Source organism: Homo sapiens, chromosome 16 (genome assembly GCF_000001405.40).
Source record: "Homo sapiens chromosome 16, GRCh38.p14 Primary Assembly".
NCBI classification, from domain to species: Eukaryota; Metazoa; Chordata; class Mammalia; order Primates; family Hominidae; genus Homo; species Homo sapiens.
Window position 1 is genome coordinate 69,047,278 of NC_000016.10, and position 13,974 is coordinate 69,061,251.

Here is a 13,974-nt window from a genome sequence, read left to right on the forward strand (position 1 = left end):
TGAGGTCAGGAGTTCGAGACCAGCCTGGCCAACATGGCGAAACCCTATCTCTACTGAAAATACAAAAATTAGCGAGGCATGATGGTGGTTGCCTGTAGTCCTAGCTCCTCGGGAGGCTGAGGCTGGAGAATCACTTGAACCTGGGAGGCAGAGGTTGCAGTGAGCCAAGATCGCACCATTGCACTCCAGCTTGGGTCCATCTCAAAGGAAAAAAAAAAAAGGTGAGTGATTTGGTGTGACCAGAGGCTCTCAGGACCCTAATCTTACATTTCCCCTAGGAGCAGTGGTTCAATATCTGCTAATGCAGCACTCACAGCAACGTTATAAAACATAACTACCACAAATAACGAGAATTGAATATATATACAATTGGGAAAAAAGTTGATCTTAAAAAAATGAGTGATTGGGGGTTGATTTATCAAGGTAACTACTGCTGCAGCCCTCTACATAGTTTATTGAAAGTTAACTTCTTAGAAGGACTATAAAATATTTGAGAACTTTGCACATGGATTTATAGTGGCTAATATAATATATAGCCACAATATAAAATGGCAGCATTTTATATTGAAACTCTTTCCCTTGCTTTTTAGTATTAAAAGATAATTCTCAGAGCAGTTTTCTTCCTTGTAATCCCTAATTTTAGATGACAAAAGAATAATCTATTCTCTATCTGTTTTGTGGGAGATCAGTATTCAGCTTTAGAATTAATTCCTTCAAAATGATAAAAAGTCTTAACATCAGGTTGTTTCTTCAAAAACAAGCCAAACCTGGAAGCATCTTTAGAAGAGTTTGGGAGTTTTTTTTTCTTTTCTTTTCTTTTTATAAGACAGAGTCTTGCTCTGTCACCCACGCTGGAGCACAGTGGCGCAATATCAGCTCACTGCTGCCTCTGCCTCCTGGGTTCAAGCGATTCTTGTGCCTGAGCCTCTTGACTAGCTGGGATTACAGGTGCACGCCACCAAGTGCAGCTAATTTTTTGTATTTTTTTTTTTTTTTTTTTTTTTTGTAGAGGTGGGGTTTCGCCATGTTGGCCAGGCTGGTCTCAAACTCCTGACCTCAAGCAATTTGCCCACCTCTGCCTTTCAAAGTGCCAGGATTACAGGCGTGAACCACTGTGCCCTGCCAGGATTAATTTTTTTTTAAGAGATGGATGTCTTGTTCTGTTGCCCAGGCTAGAGTGCAGTGGTGTGATCAGAGCTCACTGCAGCCTGAAACTCTTAGGCTCAAGCAATCCTCCTGCCTTAGCCTCCCAGGGATTAATTATTAATTGACAGCTGTTTTAAGTTCTGAGGCAAACTCAGGCCTCCATGCAGGAATGATTTTTAATCACATGAGCTCAGTATTGGACTCTGATGGCTGAAGCCTCTTCCTGATAAGGTTATTTATGAATGGTGGGTTCACCATTAATACTGGAGATTACTCTCCTACTTCTCTGTGAGAGAGAAGGCAAACCCTGGCTAAAGAAAATAAATGGTTTGTATATGATGCTCTGCTTTTTTAATTACAAGAGTTACTCCTAGAGATTTCAGGGGCTTACTTGTCCCAGGATTTGAGTCAGGGTCCTGAGAGAGCAGGGCCAAAAGTGTGTTGGAAAAGGAGCAGTACTAGGCTGGGGACAGACCCAAGCTGAGGGAAGCTGATGAACAGCAAAAAGTCAAAGCCAGGCCCAGGCAGATGGGGCCGGCCTTCTGCAAGGCTGCTGCTGCTGACCCGAAGGAGGTAAAATGAGTGTGCTCTCTTCGTCAATAGCACCAGAGCCCCCTCTTCCCCTTACCTTGTATTTCTTGTCACTGTTTCTTAATTTGAGACATAATTTATATAGTATAAAATTCACCCTTTCAAAGTATATAATTCTGCAATTTTAGCATATTCATAAAGTGGTGCAATGCTCATCAATATCTAATTCCACAACATTTTCATTGCCCCCCAAAAGAAACTCCATACTCCACTCCCCAATTCTCCTCTTCCCCGTTCTCCTCTCCCCCAAGCCCCTAGCAATCACTAATCTACTTTCTCACTATGGATTTGCCTATTCTAGACATTTCATATAAATGAGTCATACAATATGTGGCCTTCTGTGTCTGCCTCCTTCCATTCCTTTAGTATCATGTGGTTAAGGCTCATCCATGTTTTCTTTCTTTAAAAATTTTTTTTCTTTCTTTTTTTTTTTGGAGACGAAGTTTCGCTCTTGTCCCCCAAGCTGGTGTACAATGGCGCCATCTCGTCTCACTGCAACCTCTGCCTCCCAGGTTCAAGCAATTCTCCTGCCTCAGCCTCCCGAGTAGCTGGGATTACAGGCACTTGCCACCATGCCTGGCTAATTTTTGTATTTTTAGTAGAGACGGGATTTCACCATGTTGGCCAGGCTGGTCTTGAACTCCTGACTTAAAGTGATCCACCACCCCTCCCCGCCCAGCCTCCCAAAATGCTAGGATTACAGGCATGAGCCACTATGTCTGGCTTTTTTTTTTTCTTTTTTATAAAGATGGGGTCTCACTATGTTGCCCAGGCTGGTCTTGAACTCCTGAGCTCATGTGATCCTTCTGCCTCTGCCTCCCCTCCCAAAGTGCTGAGATTACAGGCATGAGCCACCACACCCTGCCTGGCTCATCCATGGTGTAGCATATATCAGAGCTTAATGTTTGCAGCTGAATAAGATTCCATCGTATAGGTATGCCACATTTGTTTATCCATTTATCAGTTGATGGACATATAGGATGTTTCTACTTTTTGGCTATTTTAAACAATGCTGCTATGAACATTTGTGTAGAAGTTTTTGTGTAAATATATGTTTTCATTTCTCTTGGGTATATACCTAGAAGTGGAATTGTTGGGTCATATGGTAATTCTGTGTTTAACTTTTGAGGAACTGCCAGACTGTTTTCAAAGTGACTGCATGAGTTTACATTCCCACCAGCAATGCATGAGGTTTCCAAATTCTCCATATCCTCACGAACACTTGTTATTGTCCATCATACATTCTAGCATGTATCAAATATGAACTCCTATGATAAGGTTTAGATTTTGCATCTCCCTCATGGCTAAAGATGTTGAGCTTGTTAGGTTTTTGTTTTTGTTTTTTCTGAAACGGGGTCTCATGGTCATCCTGGCTGGAATGGTGTGGCACGATCATGGCTCGGTGCAGCCTCAAACTCCTAGGCTCAAGCAATCCTTCCACCTCAGCCTCCTAAACTATGCCACCATGCCCAGCTAATTTTTTTTTTTTTTTTGAGACGGAGTCTTGCTCTGTCACCCAGGCTGGAATGCAGTGGTGCGATCTCAGCTCACTGCAACCTCCGCCTCCCGGGTTCAAGCAATTCTCCTGCCCCAGCCTCTTGAGTAGCTGGGATTTCAGGCATGTACCACCATGCCCGGCTAATTTTTGTATTTTTAGTAGAGACAGGGTTTCACCATGTTGGTCAGGCTGGTCTTAAACTCCTGACCTCATGATCCACACACCTCGGCCTCCCAAAGTGCTGGGATTACAGGCTTGAGCCACCGCGCCCGGCCCTAATTTTTTTATTTTTTGTAGAGATGGGGTCTCACTATGTTGCCCAGGCTGGTCTCAAACTCGTGGGCTCAAGTAATCTTCCTGCCTCAGCCTCCCAAAGTGCTGGGATTACAGGCGTGAGCCATTGCACTTAGCTATTTGTATATCATCTTTGGAGAAATGTCTGTTCAATTTCTTTGCCCATTTTTTAATTGGGTTGTCTTTATTGTTGATTTATTTATTTTCTAATTTAATTTTTATTCCCCCCAAATAAAAATATTATGTAATTAAATTACATATTAAATTGATTGCATAATTTAAAATATAATGTAATTAAATATTATTTAAAATAAAAATAAAATTACATAAACATATGTATTTTTAAAACAATAGTTTTACAAAGCTTGTTTCTCACTTAGTGTTCCTATTCCCCATCAGCAACCATTTTCCACTTGTTTTGTTGTTTTGTTTTGGTTTTTAAATTTACTTTCGGCTGAGCACGGTGGCTCACGCCTGTAATCCCAGCAGTTTGGGAGACTGAGGTGGGTGGATCCTGACTTGAGGTCAGGAGTTCAAAACCAGCCTGGCCAACATGATGAAACCCCGTCTCTACTAAAAATACAAAAGGCTGGGCACAATGACTCACACCTGTAATCCCAGCACTTTGGGAGGCTGAGGTGGGCAGATCACCTGAGGTCAGGAGTTTGACAACACGGTGAAACATGGCCAACATGGTGAAACCCTGTCTCTACTAAAAATACAAAAATTAACTGGGTGTGGTATTGGGTGCCTGTAATCCCAGCTACTCAGGAGGCTGAGGCAGGAGACTCATTTGAGGTCAGGAGGCAGAGGTTGCAGTGAGCTGAGATTGTGCCATCGCACTCCAGCCTAGTGGACAAGAGTGAAACTCCATCTCAAAAAACAAAAAATACAAAAATTAGCCAGGCATGCGCCTGTAATCCCAGCTACTCAGGAGGCTGAGGCTGGAGAATTGCTTGAACCCAGGAGATGGAGGCTGCAGTGAGCCAAGATCACGCCACTGCACTTCAGCCTGGGCAACAGAGCGAGACTGTCTCAAAAAATTAAAAATATATATATATATTTTTTCCATATTTACAGATGGTATGCTTATACTGCTATTTCTTGATTTTCCTTTTTTCTTTTCTTTCTTTCTTTTTCTTTTTTTTTTTTTTTTAGACACAGTCTTGCTCTGTCGACCCAGGTGGGAGTGGTGCAGTGCCACCATCATGGCTCACTGCAGCCTTGACCTCCTGGGCTCAGACAATCCTCCCACCATAGCCTCTGAGTAGCTGGGACTACAGGTGTGTACCACCACACCTGGCTAATTTTTTAAATTTTTTGTAGAGATGGTGTCTCCCTATATTGCCCAGGCTAGTCGTATCAAACTCCTAGGCTCAAGCAATCCTGCCACCTTGGCCTCCCAAAATGATGTTGGGATTGCAGGTGTGTGCCATTGCTCTCAGGCCTTGATTTTTCTTTTCTTTTTTTTTTTTTTTTGGAGACAGGGTCTTGCTCTGTCTCCCAAGCTGGAGTGTAGTGGCACAGTCTCAGTTCACTGCAACCTCAGCCTCCCAGGCTTAAGCAATCCTCCCACTTCAGCCTCCCGAGTAGCTGGGACTACAAGCACACACCACCACACCCAGCTAATTTTTGTATTTTTTGTGGAGACTGAGTTTTGCCATGTTGCCCAGACTGGTCAAGACCTGAGCTTGAGCCATCTGCCCACCTCGGCCTCCCAAAGTCATAGGATTACAGGTGTGAGCCACTGTACCCAACCTTGATTCTTCAGTTCACTTGACCTCCTAGTATGTATAAAAGTGGGCCCCCTCAGCTTCTGTTCCAAAGGTGGAAAAACTGGCCTATGTGGGAGGTATGAAGAAACAGTCCAGTGGCTTTGGCTTCAAGTATGGACTCTGGAGCTGGATGTCCAAGCTGAAATCCCAGCTTTGCAACTTGCTGGCAGTGAGACCCTGCACAAATTAGTTGACCTCTCTTCTCCTCAACTTCCTCATCTATAAAATGGAAATAATAATAATAGTGCCAGGCACGGTGGCTCATGCCTGTAATCCCAGCACTTTGGGAGGCCGAGGTGGGTGGATCACCTGAGGTCAGGAGTTCGAGACCAGCCTGGCCAACACGGAGAAACCTCATCTCTCCTAAAAATACAAAATAAGCCAGGCATGGTGGTGCATGTCTATAATCCCAGCTACTCAGGAGGCTGAGGCAGGAGAATCGCTTGAATTCGGGAGGCAGAGGTTGCAATGAGCCGAGATCGTGCCACTGTACTCCTGGCAACAAGGGCGAAACTCGGTCTCAAAAAATAAATAAAAATAATAGTACCACTTTATAGAGTTGTTATAAGAATTAATTGAACTTATCTATGAAAAGCATTTAGAATGTATAGGTTCTAAAAGCTCAATATGTATTCATTATTATTATTATTATTAACATGCTCTCACAAATATATATATTCCCCCTCCCCATTCTCCCTATTTAGTTACATTACAGTTTTTTAATATCAGCATTCAGTGTTTATGTTATTATGACTGTAACTGTTATCTATTCTATGATCACATTTCCTTTCTTGTTTGAATTTTAGTTTTCTCTAAAGTTAATAAATGTTTCATGTTTACATCTGTTACTTTTCTATGAACCTATCATTAATTCATCCCCAATCTTTGCTGAAAGTTTATAAATCTCATAAAAGGTTCAGACACATCAGGTAATCTAACAGCTTCATCTTCTTGGAGGCATGTCTCCTATAAGCCTTCATCCACTGCTCTTGTCTGGACTGGTTACTTCTAAGCCTACTGCAAGATTTAAGAACAGAGCACTCAAAAGCTGATGATACTCTATGTACAGGTACTTATTTATGGACTAGAGGACTTTATAAGAGGGTGATGATCTGGCCAGGTGATATCATTGGGAGACTCCGTACTGTGACTATGTTGAAGTCTTTCTTGGGGGGCTTGGCAGAAAAGAATCTTAGTCTCGGCCAGGCACGGTGGCTCACGCCTGTAATCCTAGCACTTTGGGAGGCCAAGGCGGGTGGATCACCTGAGATCAGGAGTTCCAGACCAGCCTAGCCAACATGGCGAAACCCGTCTCTACTAAAAATACAAAAAAATTAGCCAGGTATGGTGGCAGGGGCCTGTAATCCCAGCTAATCAGGAGGCTGAGGTAGGAGAATCGCTAGAACCCCGGGGATGGAGGTTGCAGTAAGCTGAGATCACTCCATTGCACTCCAGCCTGGGCAACAGAGCAAGACTCTGTCTCAAAAGAAAAAAAAAAGAATCTTGGTCTCCCATAGAGGATAGAAGCCTGGCTGGAGGGTTCCGGAAGATGAGTGGAAAGAGAAGGATGGAGGTCTCACCATTCAGTGTGTAGACTTTCACTTATCCTCCTGTTTTTACCATCGCACTCTCATCTGTGTCTCTATCTAATGTCTACCTATCCAGAGTCTCTCTGGTAGGACCCTCCAAAGGGTAAACACTCCAGGCTTCTGCTGGTTGGGGAGGGGCAGTTACCTGGATGCAGAGAGTAGTAGAAGAGGGCTCAGGGGACCTGATTGCTACTCAGACATACTCTCAACCAGGTCTTCTGTTCACCCTGATTTTAAGAGGCATGGTGCCATCAACTCCTGAAATTTTCTGAGATTCTGTGGTACGTTAGGCCTGCTTCTGGGACTCTTAGGCTTAATGAATCAATTTATCATCCAGACTGGGACACTTTTGAGGGTGAAAGAGGATACTATTAATAATTATTACCAGGGCATCAGGCATACAATATATTATCCTGGGCAAATCAGGACCATGACCCTAGGATTCATCCAACTACTTTCTAGTATCAAAACTTTTGTTGCTGGCCGGGCGTGGTGGCTCAAGCCTGTAATCCCAGCACTTTGGGAGGCCAAGGTGGGCGGATCACGAGGTCAGGAGATCGAGACCATCCTGGCTAACACGGTGAAACACCATCTCTACTAAAAATACAAAAAAAAAAAAAATTAGCAGGGCGCGGTGGCAGGTGCCTGTAGTCCCAGCCATTCGGGAGCCTGAGGCAGGAGAATGGCGTGAACCCGGGAGGCGGAGCTTGCAGTGAGCCGAGATCAAGCCACTGCACTCCAGCCTGGGTGACACAGCGAGACTCCGTCTCAAAAAAAAAAAAAAAAAAAAAAAACTTCTGTTGCTATTGTCTTGTTAGTTCTTTTTGTTCTGGTAACTTAAAGATGCCAATTTTTTTTTTTTATCCCTCTACATAATTTTAGTGGGGTTTCAAGAGAGAGCAGTGATGTATGCATATGTTCAGTCCACCAGCTTTCAGGAGACAGGCTTCATTCTTCCCTCTTTATCAATGGAGAAAGTAGGTATGAAGGGGCTGTGTGACTGTACTCAGAGTTATTTGGTTTTAAGTAAAAGAAACCTTGTCTAAACAAGCTTAAGCAAAGGGAGCGTTTAGCCTGTTGCATCCAAAGAAGGGCTGAACAACCACGTTGTGGGAAAAGCAGAGATAGAGCTGGGGGGTCAGCGACTCAGAATCACAAACTGGAATACTCCATCTCCTGTCTATGCTTCCCTTTCATTTCACCTTCAGTCCCCTGTCCTGGAATCTGGCTTTCTTCCTGTGGCAGCAACATAACCACTGATGGTGGCCCAGTGTTATATCCAACACTCAGATTCCCTTTCTAGACCCAAATGCAAAATTCTAGAAAGGAGTCTTAATGTTCCAACTAAGACTACATGTTCATCCCCAGATCAGCCAACTTGGCTGGGCCAGGTGTGGTGTGTGGGGTTGCTGGTTTGTGTAAAATCAGGTTCAGCCTCCACCATAGTCATTTGTGCAAAGTCAGGCTGGGGCCAGTGCCTAGGACTATTGCCTAGGACTAGGGAATAATCCCATAGATTTCCTCAACAGTAACTTGGCCAAATCCACGTGATGTTAGTGATGGGCTTGAAAAGTAAAGCTGAGCCAGGCGTGCTGGCGTGTCACGCCTGTAATCCCAGCACTTTGAGAGGCCGAGGCAGGTGGATTGCCTGAGGTCAGGAGTTTGAAACCAGCCTGGCCAACATAGTGAAGCCCTTTCTCTACTGAAAATACCAAAAAATTAGCCGGGAGTGGTGGTGGGCGTCTGTAATCCCAGCTACTTGGGAGGCTGAGGCAGGAGAATTGCTTGAACCCAGGAGGCGGAGGTTGCAGTGAGCCGAGATCATGCCATTGCACTCCACCCTGGGCAACAAGAGCAAGACTCCATCTCAAAAAAAAAAGAAAAAGAAAAAAGAAAATTAAAGCTGAAAAGATGAGGACTCAGTACCTTGCTGGGATTGCTAAGTTATAAATGTTCAACCTTTGCTAGTGATGACATAAGGGACAGTGTAGAAACTCTAACATTTAAAACTATTCCCTTTCTGCCTCTTCTGCAAAATCATTTACATAGATCTACATGTGTTAGAATTTGGTTTGTTTTCCTCTTCTGCATCAGATTTACAATATTTTATTTTCTGTAGGCTAGCTTTTGCTTTACTCTTCTGATTGTTATTTAAAATGGCCAAAAGTTTCTCATTTAAACATTTAATGTCACAGAATTTTAGGATGTTAGAAGTGGAAGAGGATTTAGAATATTTAATTTATATTTCACAGAAATGTCCCTGGCACACTAACTTCATGAGCTGCTCCTTTGAAATAAGGTCTTCCTGGTCAAATAAGCTTAGAAAATGCTGTATACAACTAGACATTCTCCTCTTGGAGACTCAGTACATGTTAGCCTATTAAGAAGTCTGCGAAGTCCTGCAGCAAAAAAAAAAAAACCCACAATTTCCTAAATTCATTTACCAAGAACCCTTTTTTCATCATAAGCAGGCCAAGTTCCTTGAAAGATACTTTGGGAAATAATGCAACCGTCTTATTTTATGAATTAGGTAACTAAAGCTCATGAAGAGACAATAGTTTATAATTTTCCAAAGTTAATGCCAGGAAGAATTAGCACTCATTAGCAATGCAAGTTACCAGTTACAGTAACCCCGAGTATCTGGGGTTACAGGCGCCTGCCACCACGCCCAACTAATTTTTTTGTATTTTTTGTAGAGACGGGGTTTCACCGTGTTAGCCAGGATGGTCTCGATCTCCTGACCTCTTGATCCGCCTGCCCAGGCCTCCCAAAGTGCTGGGATTACAGGCATGAGCCACCAAGCCCAGCCTTGAATGGCCTGATTTTCTTTTTTTTTTTTTTTTTTTTTTTTTTTTTGAGATGGAGTCTTGCTCTGTTGCCCAGGCTGGAGTGCAGAGGCATGATCTGGCTCACTGCAAGCTCATGGGTTCACGTCCCAGGTTCACGTCATTCTCCTGCCTCAGCCTCCCGATTAGCTGGAACTACAAGTTCCCGTGAATGGCCTGATTTTCAAAAATGGTAAATTGCTCTTTGTAAAATCCCAAAGAAATAAAAATACTCTCTCAGTTTATATGGTAGTTGTGTTTCTGAAAAATAGAGTATAAATTAAAACTACACAAAACACTTTTATTTAGGCATTTACTACATGACAGCACTTATATCTGTGTGCTTTACATTAATTAATTCACCAGATCCTTATAGTAACCCCATTTCAGTATGATTACTATCACTCTTTTTTCTTTTATTTACGGCCAGCTTCCTAAGCCAAATAGGCTCACAGAATTCTGCTATCCCTATTTTAAACATGAGGAGACTAAGACGAAGAAGCTAAGTAACTTGTTCAACAACTATTAAATGGCAGGCCAATAGATGAACCCAGGCAGTGCAGCTCCAGAGCTCACACACCATTTTCTATGTCCCTGTCACCTGAAGAACTCCAATTCTGAGTCACCTGGGCATTCCCTACACAGATCATGGCCAACAGAAGGCTGCTTCCAATCCCAGAAACCATGAAATCCAAAAGGAAAAGAGGCCAGACCACATCCCTTTGGCGTATTTACTGCTAGCCCAGGAGAATGATGAGACAGTGATGGGAAAGTGTTCAGGCACCCGGGTTTCCTGACCTCCCGGGACCTGCCAACAGGAGCTCTGTAAGAGAGCAAAAGCAGGAAACAACCTTGGCTTCTTTCTTTACCCTTCCTCATGCTCCCCTACCTCTTGCCAAAAGCACAGTCCAACCACAGACTACGCGATTCAGCAACTTCCCACAATGTACACAGAACTGAAAAAAGCATGGGGTAGAGAAAAACTGAAAGAGACCAGACACCTTCAGGGCTGCCAAGCTGGGGAGTCAGTCCTGGGACTTTTCCTCCTTGTCTACAACCTGATTCGGGGATTATTTCTTCCCAGAGAGTGATTATTCTGATAATCAGATGGGCCTACAGGTTGCAAAACCCATTTATCTTTGCTCCATCCTCTGAAAGGGAGGAGTTCTGACTAAGTGTACCCTCCTTGGGGTGACGCGAAATGACAGCCTGGATTGATGCTCTGGGGTTTGTTCCAGCTCATTGCTCATCACCCCATGGATTGTTTGCTCATAGCAAATCTGCGCCAAATAAATTCCATGTCCTCCAAGGTTTGATACTTAATAGTAATATAACTAATCCTGTTTAAGGGTTTATTGTATGCCAGGCAGAGTGCTAAATTCTTTACATTATTATCTCACTGAGTCCCCCTAACAACCTTGTGAGAGACATATGCTTATTAACTCTATTTACAGATAAGAAAATTCAGGTCCAGAAGGTTTACATTCGGATGCCACACAGCCAGTAAGCAGGAGAACTGAATGCAAACCCAGGCTATCTTATTGCCAGCTTGGCTGTTCTGAAGGAACTAATTAGAACTGGCTTGAGATCATACTTGAGGAAGAGGTGAAGTATTACAAGTGTATTAGGACAAACCTGGGTTCCTGAGACTTCTGCTTCCTTAACCATTGGACTTTTCTCTTTTTTTTGAGACGGAGTCTCGCTCTGTCACCCAGGCTGGAGTGCAGTGGCGCAATCTCGGCTCACTGCAAGCTCTGCTTCCCGTGTTCACACCATTCTCCTGCCTTAGCCTCTCGAGTAGCTGGGACTACAGGCGCCCGCCACCACACCTGGCTAATTTTTTTGTATTTTTAGTAGAGATAGGGTTTCACCGTGTTAGCCAGAATGGTCTTTAACCACTGGACTTTTCTACTCTTTTTTTTTTTTTTTGAGACATAGTTTTGCTCTTGTCACCCAGGCTGGAATACAATGCTGCGATCTCGGCTCACTGCAACCTCTGCCTCCCAGGTCTAAGTGATTCTCCTTCCTCAGCCTCCTAAGTAGCTGGGATTACAGGCACCCATTACCATGCCCAGCTAATTTCTTTTTTTTTTTTTTGAGACGGAGTCTTGCTCTGTTGCCCAGGCTGGAGTGCATTGGCGCTATCATGGCTCACTACAACCTCTGCCTCCCGGGTTCAAGCAATTATCCCACCTCAGCCTCCCAATTATCTGGGAAGTGTACGCCACCACGCCTGGCTAATTTTTTGTATTTTTAGTAGAGATGGGGGTCTCACCATATTGGCCAGGCTGGTCTCGAACTCCTGACCTCAAGTGATCCACCTGCCTTGGCCTCCCAAACTGCTGGGACTACAGGCGTGAGCCACCATGCCCAGAAATTTTTGCATTTTTAGTAGAGAGGGGGTTTCACCATGTTGGCCAGGCTGGTCTCGAACTCCTGACCTTAGGTGTTCCGCCCGCCTCAGCCTCCCAAAGTTCTGGGATTAAAGGCGTGAGCCACCGCGCCTGGCCACTTTTCTTTTTTCTTTTTTTCTCTTTTCTTTTGAGACGGAGTCTTGCTCTGTCACCAGGCTGGAGTGTAATGGCATAATCTCTGCTCACTGCAACCTCTGCCTCCCGGGTTCAAATGATTCTCCTGCCTCAGCCTCCCGAGTAGCTGGGACTACAGGTGCACAACCACCACACCCAGCTAATTTTTGTATTTTTAGTAGAGACGAGGTTTCACCATGTTGGCCTGGCCACTTTTCTACTCTTTAATTCTCCTGGGTCAACAGGTACTTAGTTACCCAGGGATGGTAAGGGAACTATAGCCAGAGAGATCTTCCTGAGATGCAAATCTGCTAAGTCTGGTCCCGACTAATAATTTTTCAGTGGTTTCTTGTGGTCTATCAGATGAAGGTCAGACTCCTTTGCATGACATACAAGGCCCTTTGTAATCTGGACCCACCTGCCTTCTATGACTTTCTGTCCCATGCTTGCCTTCTTATGCCCTGAGAAGCTCATGGCAGCCCCAGAATAATCTGCCATCCTGATTCCTGCCTCCACATCTTGGTCACATCTTGGTCCATACTGTTTCTTATGCCTCGAATGCCTTCCTTCCCCCAGCTATCCATCTGATGAGTTTGTATTAATCCTGTAGGACTCCGCTACATGTTATACTTTTTATGAAAAGGCTTTTTTTTCTTTAAGTTTAATTAAAGTGTAATAGAGATGAGGTTTCACCATGTTGCCCAGGTTGCTCTTGAACTCCTGGGCTCAAGTGATCCGCCCATCTCAGCCTCCCAGAGTTCTAGGACTACAGGTGTGAGCCACTGCCCCCAGCCTCCATTCACTTTTATATTCCCAAAAGCTAGCACTTTGCCCTGTTTATGAGTGAATGAAATCATTTCTGTAAGAGGCCTGGCCAGCCTGGGCAACATAGCGAGGCCTCATCTCTACTAAAATAAAAAATGTAGCTTAGTATAGTGGTGCATGCCTGTAGTCCCAGCTACTTTGGAAACTGAGGCAAGAAGATCACATGAGCCCGGGAGTTGAAGGCTACGGTGAATTATCATTGTGCCACTGCACTCCACCCCAGGCAACAGAGAAGACTCTGTCTCTTAAAAAAAAAAAGAAAAAGAAAAAAAAAAGAGGCATGGAACATTGCTCTTAAATTCCTTCGTACCCACCTTTGCAATAAATGACTTTTTAGATCTTGATCTTTAACCGGGAATTCTAAGCCAGGCATGGTGGCTCACACCTGTAATCCCAGCACTTTGGGAGGCCGAGGCGGGAGGATCACAAGGTCACGAGATCGAGACCATCCTGGCCAACATGGTGAAACCCCATCTCTACTAAAAATACAAAAATTAGCTGGGCGTGGTGGCGCACGCCTGTGGTCCCAGCTACTCGGGAGGCTGAGGCAGGTGAATCACTTGAACCCGGGAGGCAGAGGTTACAGTGAGCCAAGATAGCGCCACTGCACTCCAGCCTGGTAACAGAGGGAGACTCCGTCTAAAAAAAAAACAAAAAAAACAAAAAAATAAAAGACTGGGAATTCTGGGACTTCCAAAATCTAGTATTCAGGTTTCCCAAGAGCAAAAGTTGCCTCAACAAGTTTTCTTAAGATCTCTTAAGGAGGGAATTTTGCCTCCTTACTTGGAAACACCTACAGGGTTTTTTTGTTGTTGCAGTTGGGTTATGGACCTGCTATCACCAAATCAGCTGAGTGAAGGAGTCCTGAGGCAGAGTGACAGAATGAATACTGATGTTCGGCTA

General features: G+C 44.1%; 1 protein-coding gene across 3 annotated transcripts in view, besides 1 other annotated feature; it reads left to right on the plus strand.

Moving 5' to 3' along the window:
• Positions 1 to 13,974, plus strand: part of TANGO6 (transport and golgi organization 6 homolog) — a 241,652-nt gene that overhangs the window by 203,747 nt on the left and 23,931 nt on the right. The gene's annotated exons all lie outside the window — the stretch shown is intronic.
• Positions 10,443 to 10,662: an enhancer, noted in NCBI's record as "active region_11034". NCBI's record gives its function as "activates an Ori minimal core promoter by ATAC-STARR-seq in GM12878 lymphoblastoid cells {active_cell/tissue: GM12878}" and the evidence as "EXISTENCE:reporter gene assay evidence [ECO:0000049][PMID:35858748]".